Source organism: Homo sapiens, chromosome 1 (genome assembly GCF_000001405.40).
Source record: "Homo sapiens chromosome 1, GRCh38.p14 Primary Assembly".
Classification (NCBI taxonomy): Eukaryota; Metazoa; Chordata; class Mammalia; order Primates; family Hominidae; genus Homo; species Homo sapiens.
The window spans coordinates 200,342,265-200,370,089 of record NC_000001.11 but is presented as its reverse complement, the minus strand read 5'-3'; the positions used below and the strand labels follow the sequence as shown (position 1 = coordinate 200,370,089).

The 27,825-nt window shown below is 43.7% G+C and overlaps 1 long non-coding RNA gene across 1 annotated transcript in view, besides 6 other annotated features; it reads left to right on the top strand.

Annotated features, from left to right (window-relative positions):
• LINC00862 (long intergenic non-protein coding RNA 862) overlaps positions 1–27,546 on the top strand; it is a 31,249-nt gene extending 3,703 nt beyond the window's left edge. Inside the window, exons 4-5 of the long non-coding RNA NR_040064.1 lie at positions 1,219–1,425; positions 26,680–27,546. This is a non-coding gene — a long non-coding RNA (long intergenic non-protein coding RNA 862). The remainder of the gene's footprint in view (positions 1–1,218; positions 1,426–26,679) is intronic.
• Positions 5,615–5,909: an enhancer, noted in NCBI's record as "tiled region #708; HepG2 Activating non-DNase unmatched - State 6:EnhF". NCBI's record gives its function as "activates a minimal TATA promoter and a strong SV40 promoter by Sharpr-MPRA in HepG2 cells {active_cell/tissue: HepG2}" and the evidence as "EXISTENCE:reporter gene assay evidence [ECO:0000049][PMID:27701403]".
• Positions 5,615–5,929: a biological region, named in NCBI's record as "Sharpr-MPRA regulatory regions 7059 and 708".
• Positions 5,635–5,929: an enhancer, noted in NCBI's record as "tiled region #7059; HepG2 Activating non-DNase unmatched - State 6:EnhF". NCBI's record gives its function as "activates a minimal TATA promoter and a strong SV40 promoter by Sharpr-MPRA in HepG2 cells {active_cell/tissue: HepG2}" and the evidence as "EXISTENCE:reporter gene assay evidence [ECO:0000049][PMID:27701403]".
• Positions 14,206–14,705: an enhancer, noted in NCBI's record as "H3K4me1 hESC enhancer chr1:200324513-200325012 (GRCh37/hg19 assembly coordinates)". NCBI's record gives its function as "activates a minimal SCP1, AML or CMV promoter by ChIP-STARR-seq in naive H9 embryonic stem cells {active_cell/tissue: H9 hESC(naive)}" and the evidence as "EXISTENCE:reporter gene assay evidence [ECO:0000049][PMID:30033119]".
• Positions 16,515–17,015: an enhancer, noted in NCBI's record as "H3K27ac hESC enhancer chr1:200322203-200322703 (GRCh37/hg19 assembly coordinates)". NCBI's record gives its function as "activates a minimal SCP1, AML or CMV promoter by ChIP-STARR-seq in primed H9 embryonic stem cells {active_cell/tissue: H9 hESC(primed)}" and the evidence as "EXISTENCE:reporter gene assay evidence [ECO:0000049][PMID:30033119]".
• Positions 17,016–17,516: an enhancer, noted in NCBI's record as "H3K27ac hESC enhancer chr1:200321702-200322202 (GRCh37/hg19 assembly coordinates)". NCBI's record gives its function as "activates a minimal SCP1, AML or CMV promoter by ChIP-STARR-seq in primed H9 embryonic stem cells {active_cell/tissue: H9 hESC(primed)}" and the evidence as "EXISTENCE:reporter gene assay evidence [ECO:0000049][PMID:30033119]".
• Positions 27,547–27,825: the final 279 nt, after the last annotated feature.

The following is a 27,825-nucleotide window of genomic DNA, read 5'->3' as shown; positions in this document are numbered from 1 at the left end:
AGGACAGCACTGCTCAGGGCCTTGCCTGGTCAAACACTCTCAGAAGCTCTGCACTATCTACTCAGTCCAAACTGCCCCAAGTCCTCTGCAAGCAACCTGTCCCACCTCATCTATCCATGCCCAGCTGGACCAGAACGTGCAACTTACCACTTTCTCAAACTCAGCTTTTACTTTTCTGCCTCTGCAACTTGATCATGCTCTTCTGCATTCCTGTATTGATTCAACAAATATTTATTGAGCTCTTTACTTCCTGCCAGGTGCTGGGAATATAAGGGTGAAAAAGAAAGACCATATCTAGGCATTTATGGGACTTAACAATTTTTAGCAGAGGATGGGGATGGGCAGAAAATAATCCAGTAAAAAAATTGAGCACGATAATTTTCCATAGTACTTTATAAGTACTATAAAGAAAGTAAAATAGAATGTTAATGAGTTTGTGTGGAGGAGTGACGGGGGTGGATGTGGGGCATGTCCAGGTGGGAACTTTAGAGGGGCAGGTGCTCAGCGAAGGCTTTACAGAGAAGGTTATATTCCCCTTGAGACCAGCAGTGTGAAGCTCATTCACAGACCAGAAGTATTTCTGATCCTGAGCAAGTGCAGATCCCTGCATGTAGGGGTGGCCTCAGAGGATCCTGAGAGGAGCAGAGCTGCCCTTGTGGCTGGCAGTTGGGGCTAGGAGAGTGGTGGATGCTGTAGGAGACAAAGGCAGGCAAAGCCATGCCTCTCAGGGCCTTGTGGATGCTCTCTACCAAAGCCACTGCAGGAAACCGTAGTTTGCCCTTTAAAGCCCTGTAAAGCCGTGATCAAATCCTCTCTTCATAATCATTCCTGATCCAGCTGGCTGGGCGCGCTCTTTCTGGACCACCATTGCACAGTAGTGGTGCCTCTTAAGGCATTTAACATAGCACTTTGGGATCATGATGTCTGTCCTTCCCATGAGCTATTAGAATTTGTTTTCATGTTGCTGTTTTGTTTCTACCTCACAAGGGACAATACTTTATTGTCTGGAAAGAGGAAAGTAGAGGAGGAAAAGGTAGAACACAGAAGAAGCCTGTCATTTTTTATTGAGTCTGGAATGAACTGAGTTTCAGTGAAATAAGCTTTCCTGTTGTATATTTGAGCTGATTTTCACAATGGCAAATATGACAAATTTAATTTTCCTTAAAAATTGATAAGACCAGTTGGAGTTCTAAAAGTGATTTTTTCTACCCCTTGAAGATCTTTTCTCAGAATAGCAGTCTGTAGGCTGTCACCTAAAGTGTCCTGTTTTCAGTGCTGCACCTGCTCTGAGCTTCATCTTTTTACGAAGACGTCATGGTGTGCTATCTGTACTGGGAAACTTTCCCCAGCATCAGCCATCTCCTGAAGATAACATTGTCTGCTAGAGATTGTCATGTATGTGGATTGAATCTCTTTATCTTCATGGTAAGTTTGGAGTTGTGTATTAGACCTACCTTACTGGTGAAAAGAATGAAGGTTCGTAGAGGTCATTACTTGTCTGTCCGCAGGTTACGAAATTAGAGAATAGCGAAGCTGACACTTGAATCTGGGGCTACTGACCAATTCTCTATGAAGCTTCCACACTTTAAGTAGTAACATAGCAAAGACCAAGCACTTAAAATTATTTCTAGATGAAGCCTTTGTGCTCTGAACCACTGTGATCACTGTTGATCGCATTTTCCTTCTTGAACTCATTTTCTATTAATAGGAGCATTTATCACAGACAGTGAGAGGCAGTTTGTGCAGCGGGGAAGAGCACGGGCTGTCTGAAGCTAGACTGTCTGAGTCAGGGTCTTCTGTGCCAGCTTGCTAGCTGTGTGGGGGAAGTTACTTAACATTTCTGTGGTTAAGTTTCCTTATTTTTAGTATGAGGATAATAACAGCACCTACCTCATTGGGTTGTTGTAAGGATTAAATAGGATAATGTACTTAAAAGGCTTAGAACAGAGCCTTGTACTTAATAAGTCCTCAGTTAATGCTCTCCTAGTCTCAGGTCTCAGCTCAAATGTCCTCTCCTAGGGAGGCCTTACCTGGCCCCTGTAGCTAGCCTGGGCCTCCCCCAGGCATTCAACATCTTCACCCTCTGCCTGCACCCTGCCTACTTCCCTCATGGTGTTTTCCCTCTTTTGGGGTACCAGGTTTATTACAGGGTTGTCTCCTCTGTGACAATGTGAGCTTTCCATGGGTTGGCTTGTATGTTCCAGTTTCCAGCTCCAGGACAGTGCCTGGCATGTAGTTTGCTCTCAATGTACATTTGTTTAACGGCTCTCTGTTTCTGAAAATCCTGAATCAGAGCTTTCATTTTGAACAAAATCGTTGCTACTCTGGTTTCTTCTCAATATGCCATATGTATTAGTGTTCCCTGAAACTTCATTCCCACAGCTTCAGACATGATCCCAAATGGCTCAAGAATTTGTACTTCTAGCCCTGACTCCTCTTTCTTTACTTTTTTTTTTGAGACAGAGTCTCACTCTGTCGCCTGGGCTGGAGTACAGTGGCGCGATCTTGGCTCACTGCAACCTCTGCCTCCCAGGTTCAGGCAATTCTCCTGCCGCAGCCTCCCAAGTAGCTGGGATTACAGGCGCCCGCCACTATGCCCAGCTAATTTTTTGTATTTTTAGTAGTGATGGGGTTTCACCATGTTGGCCAGGCTGGTCTTGAACTCCTGACCTCATGATTCGACCACCTCGGCCTCCCAAAGTTCTGGGATTACAGGTGTGAGCCACCAAGCCCGGCCCTGACTCCTCTTTCAATCTGTATTTCCAACTAACTGTTCATAAAACAAATTCTGGTAGGTGTCCTTAGCACAACATGTTCAAAACCAAATGCACTACTTTTTTTTTTTTTTTTCTAAACCAGGTCCTCTTTCTGTGCCCCCAGCCCGGTTGACAATGTGTGCCTTCACTCACCCAATTAGAAACCTTGGAGGTATCCTGTACTCTTCTGTCACTTACCCTCAGCCTAAAGCCAATCAGTCACCAAAGTATTGTCTGTCATTATCATCATCATCATCATCATCACTGTCACCACTGATGGAGTGAGAACCTTGTGCAGTTGAGCATGAACCCCAATTTCATTTGCAAAATGACCCAGACAGCAGATTTCATCTCATATGAAATAAGCAAGGTGAGGTTTTGATGACGTTACAGACATGGCTAAGAAGAGGTTGAGAACCAGCATTCAGCCCACCTGACTCCAAAGCTCATGCCCCGAACCTCAGAAACTTCTCCAGTGAGTTCCTTTTTTTTAATGGCAGGATCACACCATTAGTTTGGACTGGATCCAACCTGGATTGTTGCAACAGCCTTTGATCTGATCTGTCAAGCCCTGTGCCTTCTGTGCAACCCATTCTCTACCCTGGCACGAGCATTACTAAAATACCAATCTGGTCCTATGACTCCTCTGCATAAAAACCACGGCTGGGGCTGGTCAAGTGCAACAGTGTTTACAACTAATTGATCACAACCAGTTACAGATATCTTTGTTCCTTCTTTAGCCAAAAACAAACAGAAAAACAAACAAAACCCAAATAACAAAAACAAACACAAAAAACCCCCCATTGTTTGTTCCCTTTTGCATCTTTTGAATTCTAAACTCCTCACATAGCATAAAATCCCCTTCTGGGTCTTTTCCCAGCCTACAACCCACTTCCCCACCTGCCCCATTCCCCCTGTTGCTCCTACCTCTGGCCTTACTTCAGCCCCAGGGTCCCCTGCTGGACATGGCAGGCCCAGCACATGCTGCCCTGGGCCCTTTCACTTTGCTTTGTGACATATTTTTCATCCTTCAACCTTCAGCTCATAAGCCATATTCTCTGTGAAGGCATCCAGAGGGCCCGAGACAGCCCCTCCCACCTGTGTTCCTCAGAGCATTCTGTGCCCATAATTAGGGTGAACACATTTCTGAATCAGCAGTGGAAATGTTTCAGTTCAGACAGTTACGCATGTGCCCCTGAAGGCAATGGGACAGTTAATAGAGCAAAGTCCAGAAGAAACTCTTGGAGATGATTCCTCTTTATCTGTCTGCTACCCTGTAGAGGGGTGGGGAAGGTACTTCCAGGGTAGAGAGCTGTGGGTGGCCCTTGTATCTCTTGGAGATGATTCCTCTTTGTCTGTCTGCTACCCTGTAGAGGGGTGGGGAAGGTACTTCCAGGGTAGAGAGCTGTGGGTGGTCCTTGTATTTGCCCACACCTGACACGATGCCTAACTGTTGTTTGCTGAATGTATGAAGACTATGCCAGGCCTGAGATTCTTTTGAACATAACCAAATGTCATGTGTAAATTTCTCCAAATAACCAACCAACAAACCCAGCTCTTTATAACAATGGACAATCCAGCATGAGTATTAGGACTCTGTTTAAGTCTCAGGTTTATCACTAGAACAATTCTCATAGACACACTTCTTCATCTGTAAAATGGGGATAATAGTAGCTACTTACGGGAGTTGCAGTGAAGACTCTGTGAATGAATTGAAGGAAATTAGCAGGCACAGAGTCTGGCAAAGAAGTCTTTGTTTCAGGCACAAAGATATGTGTAGCTCATCACTATAAACAGGAACTAGAAGGCAAGGTCATGTTCTAGAATAACTTTTAAAAGTTAGGATATTGTTGGGAATTTTAAAAGGTAAGACAATTAAAAATATGACTAATATTTGTCAGCTTTTTTTTTTTTTTTTTTTGATACAGAGTCTTGCTCTTTTACCCAGGCTGGAGTGAAGTGGCGCCATCTCAGCTCATTACAGCCTCTGCCTCCCGGGTTTAAGCGATTCTCCCTCCTCAGCCTTCTTGAGTAGCTGGGATTACAGGCACCCGCCATCATGCCCGGCTAATTTTTGTATTTTTAGTAGAGACTGGGGTTCACCGTGTTGTTCAGGCTGGTCTTGAACTCCTGACCTCAAGTGATCCACCCACCTCGACCTCCCAAAGTGCTGGGATTACAGGCTTGAGCCACTGCGCCTGGCCTCATTTGTTAGCTTTAACATATGAAGAGACATCCTCCTAAATGTTAAAGTACTCTTTGACATTTTACCTATGCATTTTACAGTTGGGCTGGGAGAGATGTGACTCCCGGTTTGTTTTGCCTCACCTTTGCATTTCATCAGCTGTGTCTGATCCCAGCCTAGCCTGTGTGTCGGAATCACTTGGATGAGTGTTTTACAGACTCCTGGGCTCTACCCCAAACCCACTGAATCAGAATGGGGACAGGAAGGGAACTGTAAATCTACATTTATGAAAACCTCCCCTTGTGGTTTTGATAGTCTGCAAGGTTTGGGAATCACTAGTTCCCAAACACACCAGTAGAAAAGCATATAGTAATTAACATTCTCAATTTCTCAGCTTTACAGTGTTTGTAATTAAAAATTTTTATTTGCTTTTTTGTAAGCAATATTAGCTTTCTCAATGTCTGTTTCACCTTCACTGCAGTCTGTTTATCCAGCCTGGGAAAAAAACTGGCTCCACTTAAACAATGAGACAAAAAAGGTGCAAACCTGACAGCTTCCCTACCTTTTTTGCATTAGCGTGTAGGTATTTCCTCCATGTCCTACCAGGGCCATTTAAATGCTAATATAGTTAAGTACAACAATCTTTTTAGCAATCAGATGGAATTGTTTTTTACCACAATCTTATTTCTCATTTCTCCAGTCCGTACTTTTCCTTTTTTGGGGCAGGGTGGGGGTAGGGCTAGAGGGGCATACATTTAAATTCTTTGACCTTTCAAACCTTAACAAAAATTCTCTCCTAATATCTTCTCAGCAGTTCTTGCAATGTGTGTATCCTCTAAACCTGAGCTCTGTAATTTGAATGTGCTGAGTCACCTTGTCTTTGCAGGGTCAAACATTTTGCATCCAGGAAAAGTACTGCAGAAAATCACACCATTAGCAGCTAGCTGGTATGTTATTTGAATATTTGAATACAAATAGGAAGACTGGAAAGGAGAAAGTTACTGTGTACATAGATACATAGTAACTTACATATACTTAAAACAACCTTTTTTTTTTTTCTAATAGTCTGCTAAGTCCTCTTTCTGATTGATGACTTTTTTGTGTGTGAAATTCTCTAAATATTTATTTGTGTTCCTAGAAAGTGAAAATGAATATAAATGGTAAAGCAGTTGCCTTGCAATGTTTAATAAAAGGAGAAAATAGTCTTTGCTATTATACTGAAGCTTTGCATAATTAAGATTCTTGAATTAATTTTAAAGAATTAATAACAAAAAAATACAATCATGAACCAGATATTGAGAGTTAATGTCTAATTTAAGTTCAACTTTTAGGGAGTCCGTTTTCCTATTTTGATCATGTAGTTGAATAGACAGTGAGGAGATGTTACTACAACTGTATTAATAGAGGAAGTGGCAGGAAGCTACAGTTTCCTTAGAATCAGAAAGAAAGTTTATAGAACTCACTGGAAATGAGGGTTATAGATAAAGATTGAAGTAGGAATAACTTCTATTTAGAATTGCTATTGTATTTTTGTAACATAAGAGTGGTTTTCTTTAAAGTAAGTATTTGGGGCTAAAGAGAATGCCAACACTCCACTCACAGGGAAGTCGGAAAGCTTACCAGTATTAACAAACATCCGAAGTCATTTCACAAGGTGGAAGTTTACTATAGAACCAGTAAACATAATCTTCCTCCAGGGTGTTTTGAGTCATGAATGGGGAGCAACTTGCTCCCTTCGTGGATGGAGCACTGGGGACAAGCTTCTCTGCATCAGAGCCTGTGAAATATCAATAGCAACAGCTACTGTACTCTGAGTGCTCACTTCCTCTATGCCAGAGGCTGGCTCTGGTCTTTAATTGAATTCGCTCACTATACAGCCCCCTATACAGAAGGAACGCTAATTTTCAATACCTTAAAGAGGCCAAATCATTCCCACAGCATTAGTGGCAGAGGGGGTATTTGAACCCAGGCAGAATGACTCGAACTCCCTGGTAATTAGCCATGGTGGAGAATGTCTCCCAGCTCACAAAAATGACTACTCACTGGCAAGTAACACTAAGTACAGAAAGAATGTCATCAGTTGGTTGGTGTTCTTGCTTTCTCTCCGTGAACAATTAAGAGGGCGCAGAGGTGAGATGGGGTGGGGTGGGATAAAGGGAAGGCCTGGAAGAAGGGACAGAAGGGCTGCAAATAATCACCCGGGAGCCCAGTGAGACTCAGAGAAAGATTCTAACCTAAAATACTCTTCTGCTGTCAGCTATTCTGTAATTAACATCCACAGATGAAAACATGAAGTGTATTAAAAATCCTTTGTGTTTTTTTTCAATTTTGACTGATGGACATAATATAATGACTTGATAATTAAAAAAAAAGAAAGAAAGAAAACCCACAAAACCCAACAACCCAAAATTCTAAACTAACTGCTTTTCATCATTCTACTCCCTGATTAGACATGGAATTGGGCTCGTTACTACGGGTAGAACAATGGCCTGTGTTGGGCAGGACAAGGGCATGGAAGCTCTCCAGCAAGCAGCACAGTGGGACAGCACAGGCTTCTAGCAGGCATGGTTTCAGTCTCAATTGTTTACAAGCCTTGGGATCTGGAACAATTGATTTGAGCCCTACAACATTAGAATGGTTCCTTTTCTCAGGGCCTAATATGGGGTCAGAGAAGGCACTCAGCAAGGAGGGTTTTTTCAGAGGCCCAGGAAGAACTAGTTCAGAGGCCGAGCCTCCTGGGAGAACACGTAGATGAGTGGGGTCAGGTGCCTGTGTCTGAGATCTAGCTCAGGTCAGGGCAGTTTTCATTGAGAAGGTGACATTTGAACAAAGATTTGAAGTTGCTGAGTGAGTTAGCCATGTGGGAATCTCAATAGAAGAGATTTCCAAGCAGAGGAAACAACTAAGGAGAAACAGGAAATTGCCTTCTGGCAAGATGTAGGAACAGCAAGGAAGTAAGTGTGGCTGAAACAGAGTGAGTGAGGGGTAAAGTAGTTGAAAGTGAGGTCGGGGAGTAAGAGAGTCAGACTGGCCAGCATCATTTTAAGGACTCTGAGTTTTAACTATGAGAGGAACATGGAGCCATTGCAAAGTTCTGAGCAGAGGAGGACATGTGACTGAGAGTTTAAAAAGATGGCTCTAAGCCAGGTGCAATGGCTCATGCCTGTAATCCCAGCACTCTGGGAGGCCGAGGCAGGAGGATCACTTGAGGCCAGGAGTTTGAGACCAGCCTGGACAACATAGCCTGACCTCATCTCCACTAAAAAAGAAATAAAGCTGGGTATGCTGGTTGCGTACCTGTAGTCCCAGCTACTCAGGAGGCTGAGGTGGGAGGATCACTTGAGCCTGGGAAGTTGAGGGTGCACTGAGTCATGATCATGCCACTGTACTCCAGCCTGGGCAACAGAGCAAGACCCTGTCTCAAAAACAACAGCAACAACAAAAATCTAAAACGATTGCTCTGATTGCTATATTCAGAATAGACTGGGTTTGAAGCAGAAAGACCAGTTAGGAGCCATTGAGTAATCCAGACAAGAGATGATGATGGGTCTGACCAGGGTTCATAACAGTATGAGGGTGAGAAGTGGGCAGATTCTGGATCTATGTTGAAGGTAAAACCAACAGGATTTATCCCTGGGTTGGATATGGAATGTGAGTGGAAAAGAGAACGTGAGGATTTATTCCAGGGCTTATGGCATGAGCAACTGGAAGGATGGCATTGCCAATACCTGGGGTGGCAAGGATATGCAGAGGAAACAGATTTGGGGGGAACACCAAGGGTTCATTTTTGCCCATGTTGAGTGTGAGATGTCCACTTGATATCCAAGTGGAGATCAAATGGAGGAGAGAAAGGGGTCTGGTCTGGTGATACGCTTTTAGAAATTACCAGTATATAAATATTTAAAGCCCAGAGACAAAGAGATCATAAAGGGAGTACTGACAGAGAAGAGAAGGGATCAGCAGACTGAGCTTTGAGGTGCTACAATAACTGAGAGTTCTAGAAAAAGAGGAGGGAGCCCCAGAGGGGACTTGAAATGGAGCAACAAATGAGGCTGTCTTGAAGATGGCATTCACCAGGCAGAGAGTAGGGAAAGAATTCTAGGTGAGGGGAAGGGTGGGTACCCAGACTCAGAGGTACAAAAGCCTGATCTGGGAGAGGGACGGGGAAGATAGTAAGTGGTGTGGTATGGGGAAGAGTAGAGTAGAGGCTGCAAGATGGGCTTCTTTGACATGTAAGGGACTTGGACCTTCAATGGAAGACTTTGGGAGTTAATTTCTTGATAATTATGAGGAAGTTGATGGCAGCTAAGACTCATTGACGTATTATTCTAACTTATTATTCTAGCATGTGTCAAGCACTGTGCTAAGCAAATTACATACATTATCTCACTTAATCTTTACACCTACCCTTTAAGAAAGATAGTAGTATTATCCTCTGCAGATGAAGAAATGGGCTCAGGGGGTCAAAGTTATCAGTGAGTAAACTGCCTTTAACCCAGGTAGTTCCATTCCAGAGTCCATCCTTTTAACCACTAACCTGTCCTGTCTCCTTGAGGTCTGGCACTTCTTAACCAGGTCTCAGAGGGTCAGCCTGAGAGCATGTGTCATTTCCCCATAGAGGACCTGACTTCACTGTTTCTCAGATGAGGTGCTTTACCTGCAAAGGGTTAAGGTAGATTCTGGGCACCAGTGAAGGAGTTCAAGTGGAGGAGCAACTTGACAGGATTTGCTTGTGTAGGATGTTGATCTGGCAGCAGTGTGGTGAACAGAGTGCATGAGGGTGCCTGCTAGTAAGGGAGATCTATTTGGGGAAGATTAGCTCAATGTGAGACCTATTGAGGGGCCTGAGGGCTGATGAAGCAGTGTGCTTCAGGCTGCAGGGTCAGGGTCTTAGTAAGAGATGAGCTAGATTTGAGAGTCACGTGGCTGCAAATAGAATCAGTGGTTCTGAGGGAGGGAAGCAATTTTCAGATATTCACTGTCCATATATACACACTTTTCTCAAATGGATCCCTTAGAGAACAGGGAAAATGCACACCTCTTGCACTTCCATCATCTTCCTATGGTGTGTTTGGGAAGGTAAAAAAAAACCTCCGGGACCCAAACCTAGGTCCAATTTCAAATATAATGCATGTAGGAGAATGTGAATGACTCAGGGCCAGTGACACTTCCTTTTACAAGTCAGATGAGTCTGGCTGTTCGCTTTCAACATACTTGAAGGGAGACCTAAACACACACACACACACACACACACACACACACACAGACACACACACTCTTTAGAGATAGGGTCTTACCATGTTGCCCAGGCTGGAGTGCAGTGGCTGTTCACAGGTGTGATCATAGTACACTACAGCCTGGAACTTCAAGTGGTCCTCCCACCTCAGCCTCAAAGGGTGTGGGATTACAGTTGCACACCACTGTGCCTGGCTGAACATAAGGATAGATTACAACGTGATTTGGGGCTATGACTTTCAAGGATTTCAAAGATTTGAGTGACATTGCTGTAGCTAAAATACTTCCATTCTTTTATTTATTTAAAAATAATTTCTCAGTTATTGTATCTATAAAAAGAACAGTAGTGATATAATTATACCAATGGTTTCATTATAATAATAAGTCATCCACAAACCCATTAACTAATAATAGGAAAATAAACCCAGTTCATCGCATTAATCTCATTAAAGAATGTATTTCCAATAAAACTTTATATTGAATGATTGTCAAAGTTTATAATATACTTATGATGTTTTGATTAATTGTGTACTATGAATAACTGGAATTTACTACTACTTAATCCAGAGGAATTTTTCTTTGTCTACCTAGAGGATTATGGTCACAATTTTTTTTTTCTATTTTAAATCTTAATTTATGTCCATAGTTTTGTGGATGAGATCTATGAATGGGTTATTAATAAAAGGTTTTTGTTTGTTTGTTTGTTTGGTTTTTTTTTGAGACAGAGTCTCACTCTGTCATCCAGGCTGGAGTACAGCAGCGTGATCTCAGCTCACTGCAACCTCCAACTTCCAGGTTCAAGCGATTCTTGTGCCTCAGCTTCCCGAGTAGCTGGGATTACAGATGCTCGCCACCATGCCCAGCTAATTTTTGTATTTTTAGTAGAGATGGGGTTTTCCCATGTTGGCCAGGCTGGTCTTGAACTCCTGACCTCAGGTCATCCGCTGGCCTCAGTTTCCCAAAGTGCTGAGATTACAGGCATGGGCCACTGTCCCTGGCCAATAAAAGCTTTTGAAGCATAAAAACAAATTTCATTTATAATTGGTGGGTAAAACAAAAACTTGCATCCAAATGTTTGTAGCAGCCTTATTCATAATAACCAAAAAGTGGAAACAATTCAAATGTCCACCAGCTGATGAATGGATAAACAAAATGTGGCATATCCATACAATTGAATATTATTGGACAGTAAAAGGAATGAGTACTGATTCATTCCACAACATGGATGAACCTTGAAATATTATGCTAAGTAAAAGAAGCCAGTCACAAAAGATTACATATTATATGATTCCATTTGTATGAAATGTTCAGAATAGGCAAATTTATGGAGACAGAAAGTAGATCAGTGGTTGTTTAGGGCTGTAGTAGGGGAGGGGACAATGAGGAATGAGTGCTAATGGGTACTAGGTTTATTTTTGGGGTGATGAAGATGTCTTAAGGCTGATTGTACCAACGATTGCAGCTGTAAATATGCTGAAAACCATTAAGTTGCATTCTTTAAATGGATAAATTATATGGTATATGTTTTGTTTTGTTTTGTCTTGTTTTTGAGACAGAGTCTCACTCTATCACCCAGGTTGGAGTGCAGTGGCGCAGTCTCAGCTCACTGCAACCTCTGTCTCCTGGGTTCAAGTGATTCTCCTGCCTCAGCCTCCCCAGTAGCTGGGATAACAGGTGCACACCACCATGCCTGGCTAATGTTTTGTATTTTTAGTAGAGATGGGGTTTCATCATGCTGGCCAGACTGGTCTCGAACTCCTGACCTCATGATCCACCCACCTCAGCCTCCCACAGTGCTGAGATTACAGGCATGAGACACTGTGCACAGCCAGTATGTGTTTTATATCTCAATAAGGCTGTTAAAATATCTGTGGGAGGTTGGGCACAGTGGCTTATGCCTGTAATCCCAGCACTTTTTTTTTTTTTTGAGATGGAGTCCCGTTTTGTCGCACAGGCTGGAGTGCAGTGGCGTGATCCCGGCTTACTGCAACCTCCGCCTCCCGGGTTCAAGCGATTCTCCTGCCTCAGCCTCCCAAGTAGCTGGGACTACAGAAGTGCGCCACCATGCCTGGCTAATTTTTTGTATTTTTAGTAGAGACGGGGTTTCACTGTGTTAGCCAGGATGGTCTCGATCTCTTGACCTCGTGATCCGCCTGCCTCGGCCTCCCAAAGTGCTGGGATTACAGGTGTGAGCCACCATACCCAGCCTAATCCCAGCAGTTTGGGAGGCCGAGGCAGGAGGATCACTTGAGGCCAGGAGTTCAAAACAAGCTTGGGCAACATAGTGAGAACCCAGTCTCTACAAAAGAAAAAGTAAAAAGTTAGCTGGATGTGGTGGCCCATACCTGTAGCCTCAGCTACCTGAGAGTCTGAGGCAGAGAATCTTTTGAGCCCAGGAGTTTGAAGCCACGTGAGCTACCATTGCACCACTGCACTCCAGCCTGAGCAACAAAACAAGACCTGGTCTCCCCCAACCTCCTCCCCCACCAGAATTCTGTGGAGTAAGTGAATGAAAACAGAAGTTAAAGCAGATATAAGAATGATACAATATTCTGACTATAAAAGAAGATCTTGTACATTTACAAAACACTATCAATTCATTGCAACCATTTAAATTTGGGATTATAGCTACTTGGGAGGCTGAGGCAGTTGGATTGCTTGAGTTCAGAAGTTTGAGACTACAGTGAGCCATAATCGCCCCACTGCACTCTAGCTTGGATGAAGAGTGAGCCCCGTCAAGTAAATAAATAATAAAATAAATAAATAAATAATTTGGATGTCAAATCAGAAATTGCATAGGAGGGCCGGGCTCACGCCTGTAATCCCAGCACTTTGGGTGGCCCAGGTGGGCAGATCATGAGGTCAGGAGATCAAGACCAGTCTTGCCAACAAGGTGAAACCCTGTCTCTACTAAAATACAAAAAATTAGTCGAGCGTGGTGGTGCACACCTGTAGTCCCAGCTACTCGGAAGGCCGAGGCAGGGGAATCGCTTGAACCCGGGAAGTGGAGGTTGCATGAGCCAAGATCGCGCCACTGCACTCCAGCCTGGTGACAGGGGGACACTCTGTCTCAAAACAAACAAACAAACAAAAAGAAATTGCATAGGAATATGTAGTTTTGTTTTTGTGGGGTTTTCTGTTTTGTTTTGTTTTTTTGAGACAGGATCTCGCTCTGTCACTCAGGCTGGAGAGTAGTGGTGTGATCCCGGCTCACTGCAGCCTCCACCTCCTGGGTTCAAGCGATTCTCCCACCTCAGCCTCCTGGGTGTCTGGGACCACAGGCCTACTGCCACAAAACCGCCTGCCTCGGCCTCCCAAAGTGCTGGGATTACAAGCGTGAGCCACCGTGCGCAGCCCTGTAGTTTTTATTTTAGGAGATTCTTAAGCAAAAAAGCCTGAAGCCCAGAGAATTAAATCTCTTAAAGAGAATGGCTAGATTAAATGAGAAAAGAGGACTAAAGAAGGAAAATTTCAGACTAGCCGATGTGGCAAAACCCTGTCTCTACAAAAAATCCAAAAATTAGCTGGGCATGGTGGTGTGTACCTGTAGTCTCAGGTATGCAGGAGCTGAGGCAGGAGGATCACTTTGACCTAGTCTCATTTAAAAACAACAAAAACAAAACAAAAACAAAAAGGAAAGAGAGAAAATTAGGAATACTAGCATCTAAAGAAAATGCAGGAGAAATGGAGAAGTAGGACTAGAACCACAGAAGGACTGTTTACAGCTGGAGGGTAGTGTCAAGCATCCCTCAGGATTGTGGAAGCTCAGGACTCAAAATCATCTGTGATTGGCAATTATGAAGTCTTTGACTTTGGCACCACCCATTTCAGTGAATTAATTGCAGTCCAGCACAGAGACTGATGGCTGGGAACAGGAGTTCAGAGAGGTTAGAGGCGAGAATCAGAGGGAGGAAGTGAAGACATCAACTGTGAACTACTTTCTTGAGAAGTTAGAACAGAAATAATACGGCAGTAGTTTGGTAACTTTTGGGAGAAGTGGTGTAAAGGTAGTTGTTACTACTTTGAAAACGAGATTGATTTGAACATAAACCAAAGGTAAAAAGCTGGTGAGTGAGAGAGAGGAGGGATGCTCATTTCTGTTGTATGCAAAATGTTCTGCAAATCAGCTAGCCTTGGCTGTGACCCCTGGGAAGCCAGAGGGGATGCCATCCCCCTTACTTCAGAATTGTGGCCTTTCTCTTCTGGTGAGCTAGGAATTTTATTCAGTACTTCTCGGGAATTTTACAAACTCTTATCTAGGCAGTGAGCCACTATCTTGATACTCAGTTTCCAAAACCGCTTGTTTCTACAGAGCTCATTTCCAATGTTGCCAATGTTTAGTGCTACAACAGGGATGGGGGTGTGGATGGACCAACAGGCTAGCTCAACATTCTTTTGAATTTGGGTTAAGTGACTGATTTAGGGTAAGAGTGGCTCCCAGGGCCAGGCGCGGTGGCTCACGCCTGTAATCCCAGCACTTTGGGAGGCCGAGGCGGGCGGATCACAAGGTCAGAAGATCGAAACCATCCTGGCTAACATGGTGAAACCCCGTCTCTACTAAAAATACAAAAAATTAGCCGGGTATGGTGGCGGGCGCCTGTTGTCCCAGCTACTCGGGAGGCTGAGGCAGGAGAATGGAGTGAACCCGGGAGGCGGAGCTTGTAGTGAGCCGAGATCGCGCCAGTGCATTCCAGCCTGGGCTACAGAGTGAGACTCCGTCTCAAAAAAAAAAAAAAAAAAAAAAAAAAAAGAGTGGCTCCCGAATTTCTTGGGTAGGAGTAAAAAAGATTTTACGGTATTTTTTTTTCTCACCTTAGTTCTTTAGAATTATGCTGGAAGGAACCAATTCACCTCAAATACCAAGGAAATGGGTGTGATGTAGTAGGCAGAGGAGTAGCCTTTTCCATACTGCCAGCAGAATGGAGACAGACCTGGGCTCGCACACACCACCCGGACCCAGGAGTGGGTGGTTCAATGTGTACTGTTAAGACTAAAGAAGGTTGGCCAGGCGTGATGGCTCATGCATGTAATCCCAACATTTTGGGAGGCCAATGCGGGCGGATCACTCGAGCGCAGGAGTTTGAGACCAGCCTGTGCAACATGGCGAAACTCCATCTCTACAAAAAATACAGAAAAGCTGGGTGTGTTGGCACGCACCTGTAGTCCCAGCTGCTCTGGAGGCTGAGTTGGGAGAATCACCTGAGCTCAGGAGGTTGAGGCTGTGTGAGCCATGGTTGCACCACTGCACTCCAGCCTGGGCGACAGAGACCCTGTCTCAATTAAAATAAAAAAGAAGGTCATGTGAAAGCTCACTGTGAACAGGACTTTTTTTTCTCTGTAGGTGCTTCATTGTTACTTCAGTTTACTTGAACTCATTTCATTGTTTTCACACTGTTATGAAATGCTCTCAACAATAACTGCAACAACAAATAGAGAAGAAAGGAAGTATTTAGTAATATCAAGAGAGGGCCGTGGTTAGCATGAGACATCTTGCGTTATTCACCACTGCAATGAGAAGAAAAAGACTGAGCAAAGGGAATTTCATCCATTTCTCAAGGATTTAGAGAGCTACATGCTCCATTTGAAGGTCACATTGTACATGGTGAGGTCACATTAAGGGAATTGACTTCCTCCTCTAAATCCCCCTGATCTTTATATATTTCTTTCCATGGTTTTATGCTAATACTTTGAAGAACTGAAGAATGTTATGAGGTGGCCAGGGAATGCTATGGTTCCAGGTAAATGTATTTTCAAGGTCTTTGGCAGTCGGTAAACCATTTTCCAGGACACACTTTGGTGTAAGCATACTAGTAGTAATAGTAACAAGTATTAGCAGGAAAAACTATCTTAGTTTTTTGAATTTATACTTAATATTGTTATTGTTCTTACCTTGTTTTATAGCTGAGATATTAAGTTCCCTGCTGTGTGCTGAGGGCATTGAGAACCCAAAGATAAAGAGGACACAGCCCCTCTAAAAACCTTTCTAGGGCCCTGTGGCTCCTTGTCCTTGGGTGGAATTCAGGGGCCCTGTGAACTTTTATAGGAAAAGATTACAGTTTTATCACCCTCTAACTGCAATACAGTATTTCCTTCAGTTATCAATGGTAATGACAAGCCACAGGAGTGACAGCTATTCCCATTTATACATATCACTACTTTGAAATAATGGTAGTCATTTGATTTACCACTAGATCAATAACAAGGCACATATGGTATGACAGCCAATAAATGTTTGAATAGTTTGATAACTGTATTTCATAATTAGTTTTCTGCATATGCCTATGTCTATTTTACCATATTTTGAGAAGGCTTTAGGAGGCACAAAAAAAGGTTAAGAACCCCTTTCTGTTTACTATCTCATGAGGAAGGCTAGAAGCTTCAACAGATAAAATCAGTACAAAGTGGTGAGTGGCAGCTAGAAACATGCTCAGGAGCTGTGGAGCACAGGCTTGAGCAGAGATTCAGGGAAGGCTGATGGAGAAGATTCCTGAGCTGCATCTGGAATGAAGAAGAAACAGAAGCAGGAAAAGGTCATTCCCAGGAGAGAACAGAACAGATCTTAGGGCAGGAAATGGCCTATGTGGAAGGCGGGTACTGACAGTCAGAGCTTGCTTACTGTGCTAAGTCTTGGGGGCTCAAGAATGAATGAGGGACCTCCTAGGTGGTCAGTGTGCTCACTGTTCAGAACAATGTTTATGGGGACAGGGTGGAGAGGGGTATAGTTTGAAAAAGGAAATTTTTTTTTTGGACACGGAGTCTCACTCTGTCTCCCAGGCTGGAGTGCAATGGCATGATCTCGGCTCACTGCAATGTCTGCCTCCCAGGTTCAAGCGATTCTCCTGCCTCAGCCTCTCGAGTAGCTGGGATTACAGGTGTCCACCACCATGCCCGGCTAATTTTTGTATTTTTAGTAGAGATGGGGTTTCACCATGTTGGCCAGGCTGGTCTCAAACTCCCAACCTTAGGTGATCCGCTCGCCTTGGCCTCCCAAAGTGCTGGGATTACAGGCATGAGCCACTGTGCCTGGCCGCCTTTCTAGAATTTTATATGAGTGGAATCATACACCATGTGCTCTTCTCTTTGGTCTGGCTTCTTTCACATGGCATAATGCATTTGAGATTTGTTCATGCTGTTGCAAATCAACAGTTCATTCCCAATTTTTTTGCCAAGCAGTATTTATTATAGAATTATATACTCTGAAAAGGGGAAAAAAACCAACCTTTGTTTTCATAAAACAAAATTTTAAAAAGGAGTGAGATTTTTAATGCTTATCAAATGGGAATATGAGTTAAAAATTGTTGAGAAATGCTGCTCCAGCATGTGGTCAGAGAGCATTCCAGCCCAAGATTTTCTTATGTCAATGCTAAATTTGAGCACATTTGGAAGTATTTTAGACCTGAAAGAAGGCAGGACATCAAAACAACCACTAGAGCCGAGTGGGCCTTTGTAACCACAGACTCTCTGACGAAAAGATTTGTAAAGACTCTGCCTAATGAAGAGTTCAAAAAGCATTTTGTGTGTCATCTGTTTTCCTTACAGTCTCCTTACTTGGTAGATAAGGGGCAAGAATTATTTTCCATGTTGCATAAATAGGAAATGAGGTATAGCGAGTTTGAGATACTTATTACCCAAGATCCCAGGGAGTCAGAGGCAGACTGAGGACTGCAAAAGATCCCTCCTGGTCCACAATCTTAGCCTTGCCAGTAGGCTGGGCTGAAAGCTTTAAAAAAAAATACAGTAATTTCACTTTCACTTTTGTTCTTGTTTGGGTTGTGATACAATCTTTAATTTGAAAGAATGAAGGGTTTTCTTTTCCTTCTTTGTTTTTAAAACTTTCCCCTCTCTTCTTGGTAAACACCAACATGTGTGTTGACTCTATCCAGTTGAACTCAACAACCTAATGCCTGTTTTGTGCCAGGCTCTTTTCCAGGCACTAAGGAGGCACTGATCTGGACAAATCCTGGAGGTTACTGTGAAGCAGGAAGGACAAAATGACCAAATGAGAATTAAATTACTTTTTTAGGGTCGTGGAAGATTTGAAAATCTGGGGAAACATATGTGTCCTCTTTCCCCCAAAAAATGCACATAGTGTGTACACACACACACACACACACACACACACACGTGTGTGTGTGCGCTTGGGCTCACATGATTTTGCAATGATTTTAGCGTGTTTAGAGACCCCCCAGAACTTGTGTGTAGGATTGGCCTTTGGATGAGTATTTTTGGCATAGAATGAAATAGTAATGCCTTGAAGGCAGCACAAAGCCATAGTCACTGAATAGAGAGAAAGATTCAGAGGATCCTGTGAGATGGGTGGGGCTGTTAGTGTTTTGATAGACACGTGTACTGAGTTGGGAGGGTACTAATTTCTGGAAGGCAATATTCCAGGCAGAGGGCACATCTGAGAAAGGTAGGAGGGGAGGGAAGCAGAAAAATGCAAAGCAATCTGAGAAACCCAGTTTGGCTGGAGGATAGATTATATGAAGAGCAATCTTCAGAAACACCCATAGAAAGGTAGGCAGGGGTCATATTGTGAGTGATACTGAGTAAGCAAGGTGAGTAGTCTTCTTTTTATTCTCCCCAGTAAAATATTCTGCAGTTCCTTTTATTTTTAATTAGATGGCAAAACCCCATCTCTATCAAAAAACACAAAAATTAGCCGGGCTTGGTGGTGCATGCCTGTAGTCCCAGCTACTTGGGAGGCTGAGGCAAGAGGATCACTTGAGAGTGAGCTGTGATCATGCCACTGCACTCCAGCATGGCTGACACAGCAAGATGCTGTCTCAAAAATATGTATATATTATATACAGTTTTCTGTTGTTGTTTGTTTGGTTTTTTTGGAGATGGAGTTTCATTCTTGTTGCCCAGGCTGGAGTGCAGTGGTGTGACCTCTGCTCACTGCAACCTCCGCCTCCTGGGTTCAAGTGATTCTCCTGCCTCAGCCTCCCGAGTAGCTAGGACTACAGGTGTGCACCACCACACCCAGCTAATTTTTATAGTTTTAGTAGAGATGGGGTTTTACCATGTTAGTCAGGCTGGTCTTGAACTGCTGACCTCAGGTGATCCACCAACCTTGGCCTCCCAAAGTGCTAGGATTACAGGCGACTGGCCTTTTTTTTTTTTTTTTTTTTTTGAGATGGAGTCTTGCTCTGTCACCTAGGCTGGAGTGCAGTGGCACAATCTCGGCTCACTGCAACCTCCGCCTCCCGGGTTCAAGCGATTCTTCTGCCTCAGCCTCATGAGTAGCTGGGACTGCAGTTGCGTGCCACCACACCCAGCTAATTTTTGAATTTTTAGTAGAGACGGGGTTTCACCATATTGGCCAGGCTGGAGGTTTTTGTTTGTTTTTTTTTTTTTGAGATGGAGTCTCACTCTGATGCCCAGGCTGGAGTGCAGTGGCACAGTCTCAGTTCACTGCAACCTCTGGTTCCCGGGTTTAAACAGTTCTCCTGTCTCAGCCTCCTGAGTAGCTGGGACTACAGGTGCATGCCACCAAGACCAGCTAATTTTTGTATTTTTAGTAGAGATAGAGTTTCACCATATTGGCCAGGCTGGAGGTTTTTTTTTTTTTTTGAGATGGAGTCTCACTCTGATGTCCAGGCTGGAGTGCAGTGGTGCAATCTCAGCTCACTGCAACCTCTGCTTTCCAGGTTTAAGGAATTATCCTGTCTCAGCCTCCTGAGTAGCTGGTACTTACAGGCACATGCCACCACGACCAGCTAATTTTTGTATTTTTAGTAGAGAAGGGGTTTCACCCTGTCACCATATTGGATGGGGTTTCACCATATTGGCCTCAAACTCCTGACCTCAGGTGATCCACTCACCTCAGCCTCCCAAAAGTGCTGGGATTACAGGCATGAGCCACTGAGCCTGGCCAAATCAGTTAGTTTTTGCTAGTAACAATTCCCCCTACCACTAAAATTTCATGGCTTTAAACAATCATATATTTAGCTTGTGATTTTGTGGTCAGATGATTCTAGTCTGGGCAGCTCAGCTGGGTAGCTGATGTCTTCTGGGCTTGTCCCCATGTCTGGAGCCAACCAATGGGTTAGATGGTGGCCAGGTGATCCAGGAAGGCTTCCCTTATGTGTGGCCACTGGCTAAGAGCCTTGGTGCTCCTCCATGTTTCCACTCCTCTAGCAGGCTAGCACGGGCTTATTCACATGGTGGTCTTAGGGATACAAATGCAAGCAGGAGAGTAAACCCAGAGCACAGGTGAATTAAAGCCACTGCTTGCGTACATTTGCTTCACAAGTCACATGGCCAACTAAAATGCAGGGGCAGGAAATAGACTCAACTTTCTGATGGGAAGAACTGCAACATCACATTGCAGGGATGTGGAAGGGAGAACTTGTGGTGGTTTTTGTAAACTACCTCACCTGGTCATTGAATACATTGATTCCACAGTATATGATAGATACAGGCAGCTAACAAAAATTTGGATTATTGGATAAATTATTGGCCATATATATACATGTATATATGTACCATACTTATTTTGCAAATAGGCTTGAAGCCTGCCTAGGAAAAACTGAGTCTTTTTTTTCTAGCCTATCTTATTTTTGGATCCTTATATTAGTGATATATGGAGCTTAAATATTGCAGAACTAGTAACAAAATGTTAATGTCAATACCTCAGAAAAGGGAGTTACTGAAGAATACTGAACTTAATGTACAGTTGAATTAAATAAAGATAGTAGCCTAAGCCAAATATTATTAGACTAGTGAATGATAGAAACAAAAAGCTACAAAGAGGTTTGGTTTGCATGTTAAAAAGTATCCTATGCATGAAACCACTTCACATCTTTATGCCTCATTGTCATTTCCAATTAGACTACTCTCTAGAATTATTTCACATTTCCAAAATGGTTGAATTAGTTGGGTTACAATTCCAGCTGCATACAGGATTATTTTACAGGTAAGCTAGCCATATCTGGGTTACAAAACAGTGTCAGAAATATGGTGAATGGTGTTTACCATTCTTGCACTCATATATCTACACATGCAGACTAACAGTGATGGGACATGACTTATGCACCAGGCATTGTAATACAGAGAAAAATCAGACAAAACCCTCTCCCTCCAGGAGCTCATATGCTTTGTGAGGGAGAGAGATACATAAGTACAGTTCCAGAGATAAGTGCTAGTAAAATTTTGCAGATGATACTACAGAGCCTAGATTTTTTTTTTTTTCAAGATCTCTCTCTGTCACTCAGGCTGGAGTACAGTGGTGCAATCAAGGCTCACAGCAGCCTCAACCTCCTGGGCTCAGGTGATCCTCTCACCTCTGCCTCCCAAGTAGCTGGAACCACAGGCGCATTAGCATGCCTGTCTAATTTTTTTTTTTTTTTCCGAGACAGAGTGTTACTCTATTGCCCAGGCTGGAGTGTAGCGGTACGATCTCGGCTCACTGCAACCTCCGCCTCCCGGGCTCAAGCAATTCTCCTGCCTCAGCCTCCCAAGTAGCTGGGATTACAGGCATGCGCCACCACGCCCGGCTAATTTTTATATTTTTAATAAAGACAGGGTTTCACCATGTTGGCCAGGCTGGTCGCGAACTCTTGACCTCATGATCCGCCTGCCTCAGCCTCTCAAAGTTCTGGGATTACAGGTGTGAGCCACTGTGCCCGGCCCTAATTTTTAAAGTTTGGAGAGATAGACTCTCCCTACGTTGCCCAGGCTGGTCTCAAACTCCTGGGCTCCAGTGAGACTTCCACCTCAGCCTGCCAAAGTGCTGGGATTACAGGCGTGAGCCCCCATGCCTGGGCCAGATTTTTAACATTGGCTTTTTTTTTTTTTTTTTTTTTTTTTTTTTAAGATTGAGTTTTGCTCTTGTTGCCCAGGCTGGAGTGCAATGTCCTGATCTTGGCTCACCACAACCTCCACCTCCTGGGTTCAAGCGATTCTCCTGCCTCAGCCTCCCAAGTAGCTGGGATTACAGGCATGTGCCACCACTCCTGGCTAATTTTGTATTTTTAGTAGAGACGGAGTTTCTCCTTGTTGGCCAGGCTGGTCTCGAACTCCTGACCTCAGATGATCCACCTGCCTTGGCCTCCCAAAGTGGTGGGATTACAGGCATGAGCCACCACGCCTGGCCTAACATTGGTTTTTTATATTAGTAATGACATAGCAAGTCACTCTGGAACTTTTATAAAGGACATCTGCCCAGGTATTAACCCTGGAGATTCTCATTCATTGGGTATGGAGTGGGGACCAGATGGCTGTATTTTGGAAAGGCACAAATGATACTGAGAGGTACTTCTAAGAACCATTGCTTTATAAAATGTTAGTGTGGCCGGGTGCGGTGGCTCACGCCTGTAATCCCAGCACTTTGGGTGGCCGAGGTGGGTGGATCACCTGAGGTCAGGAGTTTGAGAGCAGCTTGGCCAACATGGTGAGACCCCCTCTCTACTAAAAATACAAAAACTAGCCAGACGTGGTGGCGGGCACTTGTAATCTCAGCTACTAGAGAGGCCGAGGCCAGAGAATCGCTTGAACCCCGGAGGCGGAGGTTGCACTGAGCCGAGATCGCGCCACTGCACTCCATCCTGGGTGACAGAGTGAGACTCTGTCTCAAAAAGAAAAAAAAATGATGAAAGATAGGTTTATTGGTTTTTTTTTTTTTTTGAGATGGAGTCTCACTCTGTCGCCCACGCTGGAGTGCAGCGGCGCGATCTCGGCTCACTGCAAGCTCCACCTCCCGAGCTCACACCATTCTCCTGCCTCAGCCTCCGGAGTAGCTGGGACTACAGGTGCCTGCCACTACGCCTGGCTAATTGTTTGCATTTTTTTTTTTTTTTTAGTAGAGACGTGGTTTCACCATGTTAGCCAGGATGGTCTCCATCTCCTGACCTCATGATCCGCCCGCGTCGACCTCCCAAAGTGCTGGGATTAGGTTTATTGTTTTAAAGAATAGTTTTATTGAGATATGATTCACATAAATGTAATTCACCCACTTAAAGTGTAAATTCGGTGGTTTTAAATATAGTCACAGAATTGTGCAACCATCACCAGAATCAATTTTAGGGCATTCTTATTGCTCCACAAAGAAACCTCGTGCCTATTACCAGTCACTCCCCACATCTTCTCAACTCGTCCAGTCCTAGGCAACCACTAATGTACTTTCTGTCTCCAGATTTGTCTCTCCTGGACATTTCATATAATATGTGGTCTTTTGTGACTGGCTTCTTCCTTTCTCGCTTCCCCTCCGCTCCCCTCCCCTCCGTTCCCCTCCCCTCCACTCCACTCCCTTCTCCCCCACTCCCCTCCCTTCCTCTCCCTTCCCCTCCCGTTTCCTTTTTGATGGAGTCTCCCTATGTCACCCAGGCTGGAGTGCAGTGACGCGATCTTGGCTCACTGCAACCTCTGCCTCCCGGATTCAAGCAATTCTCTTGCTTCCGCCTCCCAAGTAGCTGGGATTACAGGTGTCCACCACCACACCCAGCTAATTTTTGTACTTTTAGTAGAGATGGGGTTTCACCATGTTGGCCAGGCTGGTCTTGAACTCCCAACCTCAAGTGATCCACCCACCTCAGCCTCCCAAAGTGCTGAGATTACAGGTGTGAGCCACCACACCTGGCCTGACTGGCTTCTTTCACATAGCATAATGTTTTCAAGGTTCATCCGTGTTATAGCATGTGTCAGTTCTTCATTCTCTTTCATGGATGAATAGTATTCCATTGCATGAATTAAATGTAGTACAATTTGTTTATCTATTTCTCATTTGGGTTGTTTCCAGTATTTGCCCAATATGAATAAGAATGATGCTGCTGGCCGGGCGAGATGGCTCACGCCTGTAATCCCAGCACTTTTGGGAGGCTGACGGGGGTGGATCACCTGAGGTCAAGAGTTTGAAACTAGCCTTGACCAACATGGTGAAACCCCGTCTCTACTAAAAATACAAAAATTAGCTGGGCGTTGTGGCATCCGCCTGTAATCCCAGCTACTAGGGAGACTGAGGCAGGAGAATCGCTTGAACCCGGGAGGCAAAGGTTGCAGTGAGCCGAGATCGTGCCGTTGCACTACAGCCTGGGCAACAAGAGCAAAACTCCATCTCAAAAAAAAAAAAAAAAAAAAAAAAGATGCTGCTATGAACAGTCATGTACAAATTTTTATATGGACATATGTTTTCATTTCTTTGGGTAAACCCTTAGGAGAGGAATTCCTAGGCGACATGAGAATTTTGTTTCCTCTTTTGAGAAACTGCCAAACTTTTCCAAAGCAAATGCACCATTTTACATTCCATCAGCAGTGTGAGAGCTCCAGTTTCTTCACATTCTCCCTAACACTTGTTATTTGTGATTTTGATTATAGCCAAAGATAGATTTTATTATCCCCATTTTTAAGATAAGGATATCATGGTTTAGAGCAGTTGTCAGGCCATAGACAGGTACTTTGCACTCTCAGACACTGGACCTCATCTGCCATAGCACTTTGAAATGACCTTATAATAATTGAAAGAGGAAGGCCGGGCATAGTGGTTCACGCCCGTAATCCCAGCACTTTGGGAGGCCGAGGCAGGTGGATCACCTGAGGTCAGGAGTTTGAGACCAGCCTGGCCAACATGGTGAAACCTCGTTTCTACTAAAAATACCAAAGTTAGCTGGGCGTGGTGGCGGGTGCCTGTAATCCCAGCTACTTGGGAGGCTGAGGCAGGAGAATCGCTTGAACCTGGGAAGTGGAGGTTGCAGTGAGTGGAGATTGCACCACTATGCTCCAGCCTAGGCAATAAGAGCAAAACTCCATCTCTAAAAAAAAAAAAAAAAAAAAAAGGAAATAATAATAATTGAAAGAGGAAAACATGGAACTATATATGGAATTGTTTTCAAATACTTTAGTATTTTTTCCAGAATTAATGGGCAATTTAATATTTCATATAATTGACTTCTGTAAATGACTGGTATTCCTTTTTTTTTTGAGATGGAGTCTCACTCTGTGGCCGAGGTTGGAGTGCAGTGGTGCAACCTTGGCTCACTGCAATCTCTGCCTCCCAGGTTAAAGCAATTCTCCTGCCTCAGCCTCCTGAGTAGCTGGGATTACAGGTGCCTGCCACCATGCCTGGCTAATTTTTGTATTTTTAGTAGAGACTGGGTTTCACCATGTTGGTCAGGCTGCTCTCAAACTCCTAATGTCTAGTGATCCACCCACCTTGGTCTCCCAAAGTTCTGGGATTACAGGTGTGAGCCACCACGCCTGGCCAACTGGTATTCCTTTTATAAAATACGTATCTGACTTATTTTTGTTGCCTCATTACATCAAGATTTACATCCAAGTTAAATTTGTATAGATTATAGGTAATCAAGTGTGGTAAGCACCTACTGAAATGTTTAAAAATTTTAGAATTTCCTTACTGTCAAAATGATAATTCTTTTTTTTTTTTGAGAAGGGGTCTTGCTCTTTCGCCCAGGCTGGAGTGCAGTGGTGCGATCTTGGCTCACTGCAACCTCCGACTCCTGGGTTCAAGTGATTCTCCTGCCTCAGCCTCCTGAGTAGCTGGGATTACAGGTGTGTGCCACTATGCCCAGCTAATTTTTTGTATTTTTAGTAGAGACAGGGTTTCACCATATTGGCCAGGCTGGTCCTGAACTCCTGACCTCAGGTGATACACCCACCTTGGCCTCCCAAAGTGTTGGGATTACAGGTGTGAGCCACCGCGCCCCACCAAAATGATAATTCTTAACCAGAGGAAATAGACAAATGAACAGAAACTCACATGGAAAGGTTTGTTCCAGGGGTTCACATTCATGATTGTTCATCAGACTTCAGAGCTTTAAAAAATAGAATACAGGTGCACAGGCTCTACCCCAGATTAAGTGAGTCAGGATCTTTGTGGTTGGCTCTGGGGTGTCTGCATTTGTAAAAAGCTCCCCAGCTGATTCTGAGGCTCAGCTGAGGTTGAGAATCAATGGTTTGTGTGACTGAGATGGTTGGCAGTATGAAGATGTTTTTGAGAAATTTACTGGCAGACCTAGCTGGGCATCCAGCTTGATTGGTCTGTTGCATGGGGTGGAAAAGATAGTTGGGGTGGGGGTATGGGGTGGCTTTGGCAGGTGGGAGATGGCAGTGCAGGTAATGCAGAAAAGGAATTTAAGTAAAGTAGTGTGTGTTTTTGAAGCCAATGAGAAGCTTCCTTATAAAGAAATAATATTCATATGCTGTAACTCTATTCCCACCTCAACTTGTTTTGAAAACTTTAAATCTAGAGAGAAGTTGAAATAAAGGTACAATGAACACCTGTATTGTTTTTATCTAGGTTCACCAGTTAACATTTTGCTGTATTAACACTGGCTCTTCCTCCCAACCCCCTTTCTAAACCATTTGAAAGTAAGATGCAGTCACTGTGGCCTTTGCATTTAAGTAACTGTGAAGAATAGGAATATTTTCCTACATAACCATAATATAATTATTACATAATGAAATTTAACCTTGGTATTATACCGTTACCGAACATACAGTCTATATTTGCTCTTCATAGCTCTTTTTTTTTTTTTTTGATTCCAGGATCCAGTTGAAAATCAGGCATTGCATCCAGTTATCATGGCTTTAATCTTAATGCCTTCCCTGCACTGTTTTGGGAATATCTTAATACTGCTATTTTTGAAGAGTCCAGCTCAGTTATTCTGCAGAATGTCTGTTGATTTGGCTTTGCTGTTTCCTCATAAGTAGATCCAGATTATACGTTTTTGTTGATGTTGGGTTCTTCTCAGTGAATCACATCCGATGATGTCAGCACGAGGCCTGATCATTTGGTTTAGGTAGCTTTCACTAGACTTTTTCATTGTAAAGGTACCTATCCCTTTTCTAATTAATAAGTAATATGTTGGGTGATAGTTTGTGTGTGAATATCCTTTTCTCCAGTGACCTTTCATCCAATGGTTTCAGCATTTTAAATGATCCTGGGCTGAGTCAGTTTTCAGTGGTGGCTGCAGACTTGTGGTTTTCCAATTCTTTCATCACTTTTACATTTATTAATTGGCAGTCTATGACTTCTTATAGCCACATAAAGATAATTCAGGAATTATCTGAACCTATGAATGTTACCTTATTTGGAAAAAGAGTCTTTGCAGATACAATTCAATTAAGAATCTTGAGATGAGGAGATTATCCTGGATTATCCAATGGGCCCTAAATCCAATGACAAATGTCCTTGGCAGAGGGAGATTTGAGACAGGAGAAGAGAAGACACGAAGGAGGGAAGGAAGTGATGTGACCACAGAGGCAGCGATTGGAGTGATGTAGTCACAAGCCAAGGAGCACCAACAGCCACCAGGAGCTGGAAGAGCCCAAGAGTATATACTAATACCTGGATTTGGGACTTGGGACTTCTGGTCTCTAGAAGTAGGAAAGAATAAACATCTGTTTTTTGTTTGTTTGTTTGTTTTTTCTTTTTTTTGAGTCAGGGTCTTGCTCTGTCACCCAGGTTGAAGTGCAGGGGTGTGATCACGGCTCACTGCAGCCTTGACCTCCTGGTCCCAAGCAATCCAACTCATCTCAGTCTCTCGAGTAGCTGGGAGACCAGCCACCAAACCCAGCTAATTTTTGTATTTTTTATAGAGATGAGGTTTCACACCATGTTGCACAGGCTGGTCTCGAACTCCTGAGCTCAAGCGATCTGCCTGCCTTGGCCTCCCGAACTGCAGGGATTAC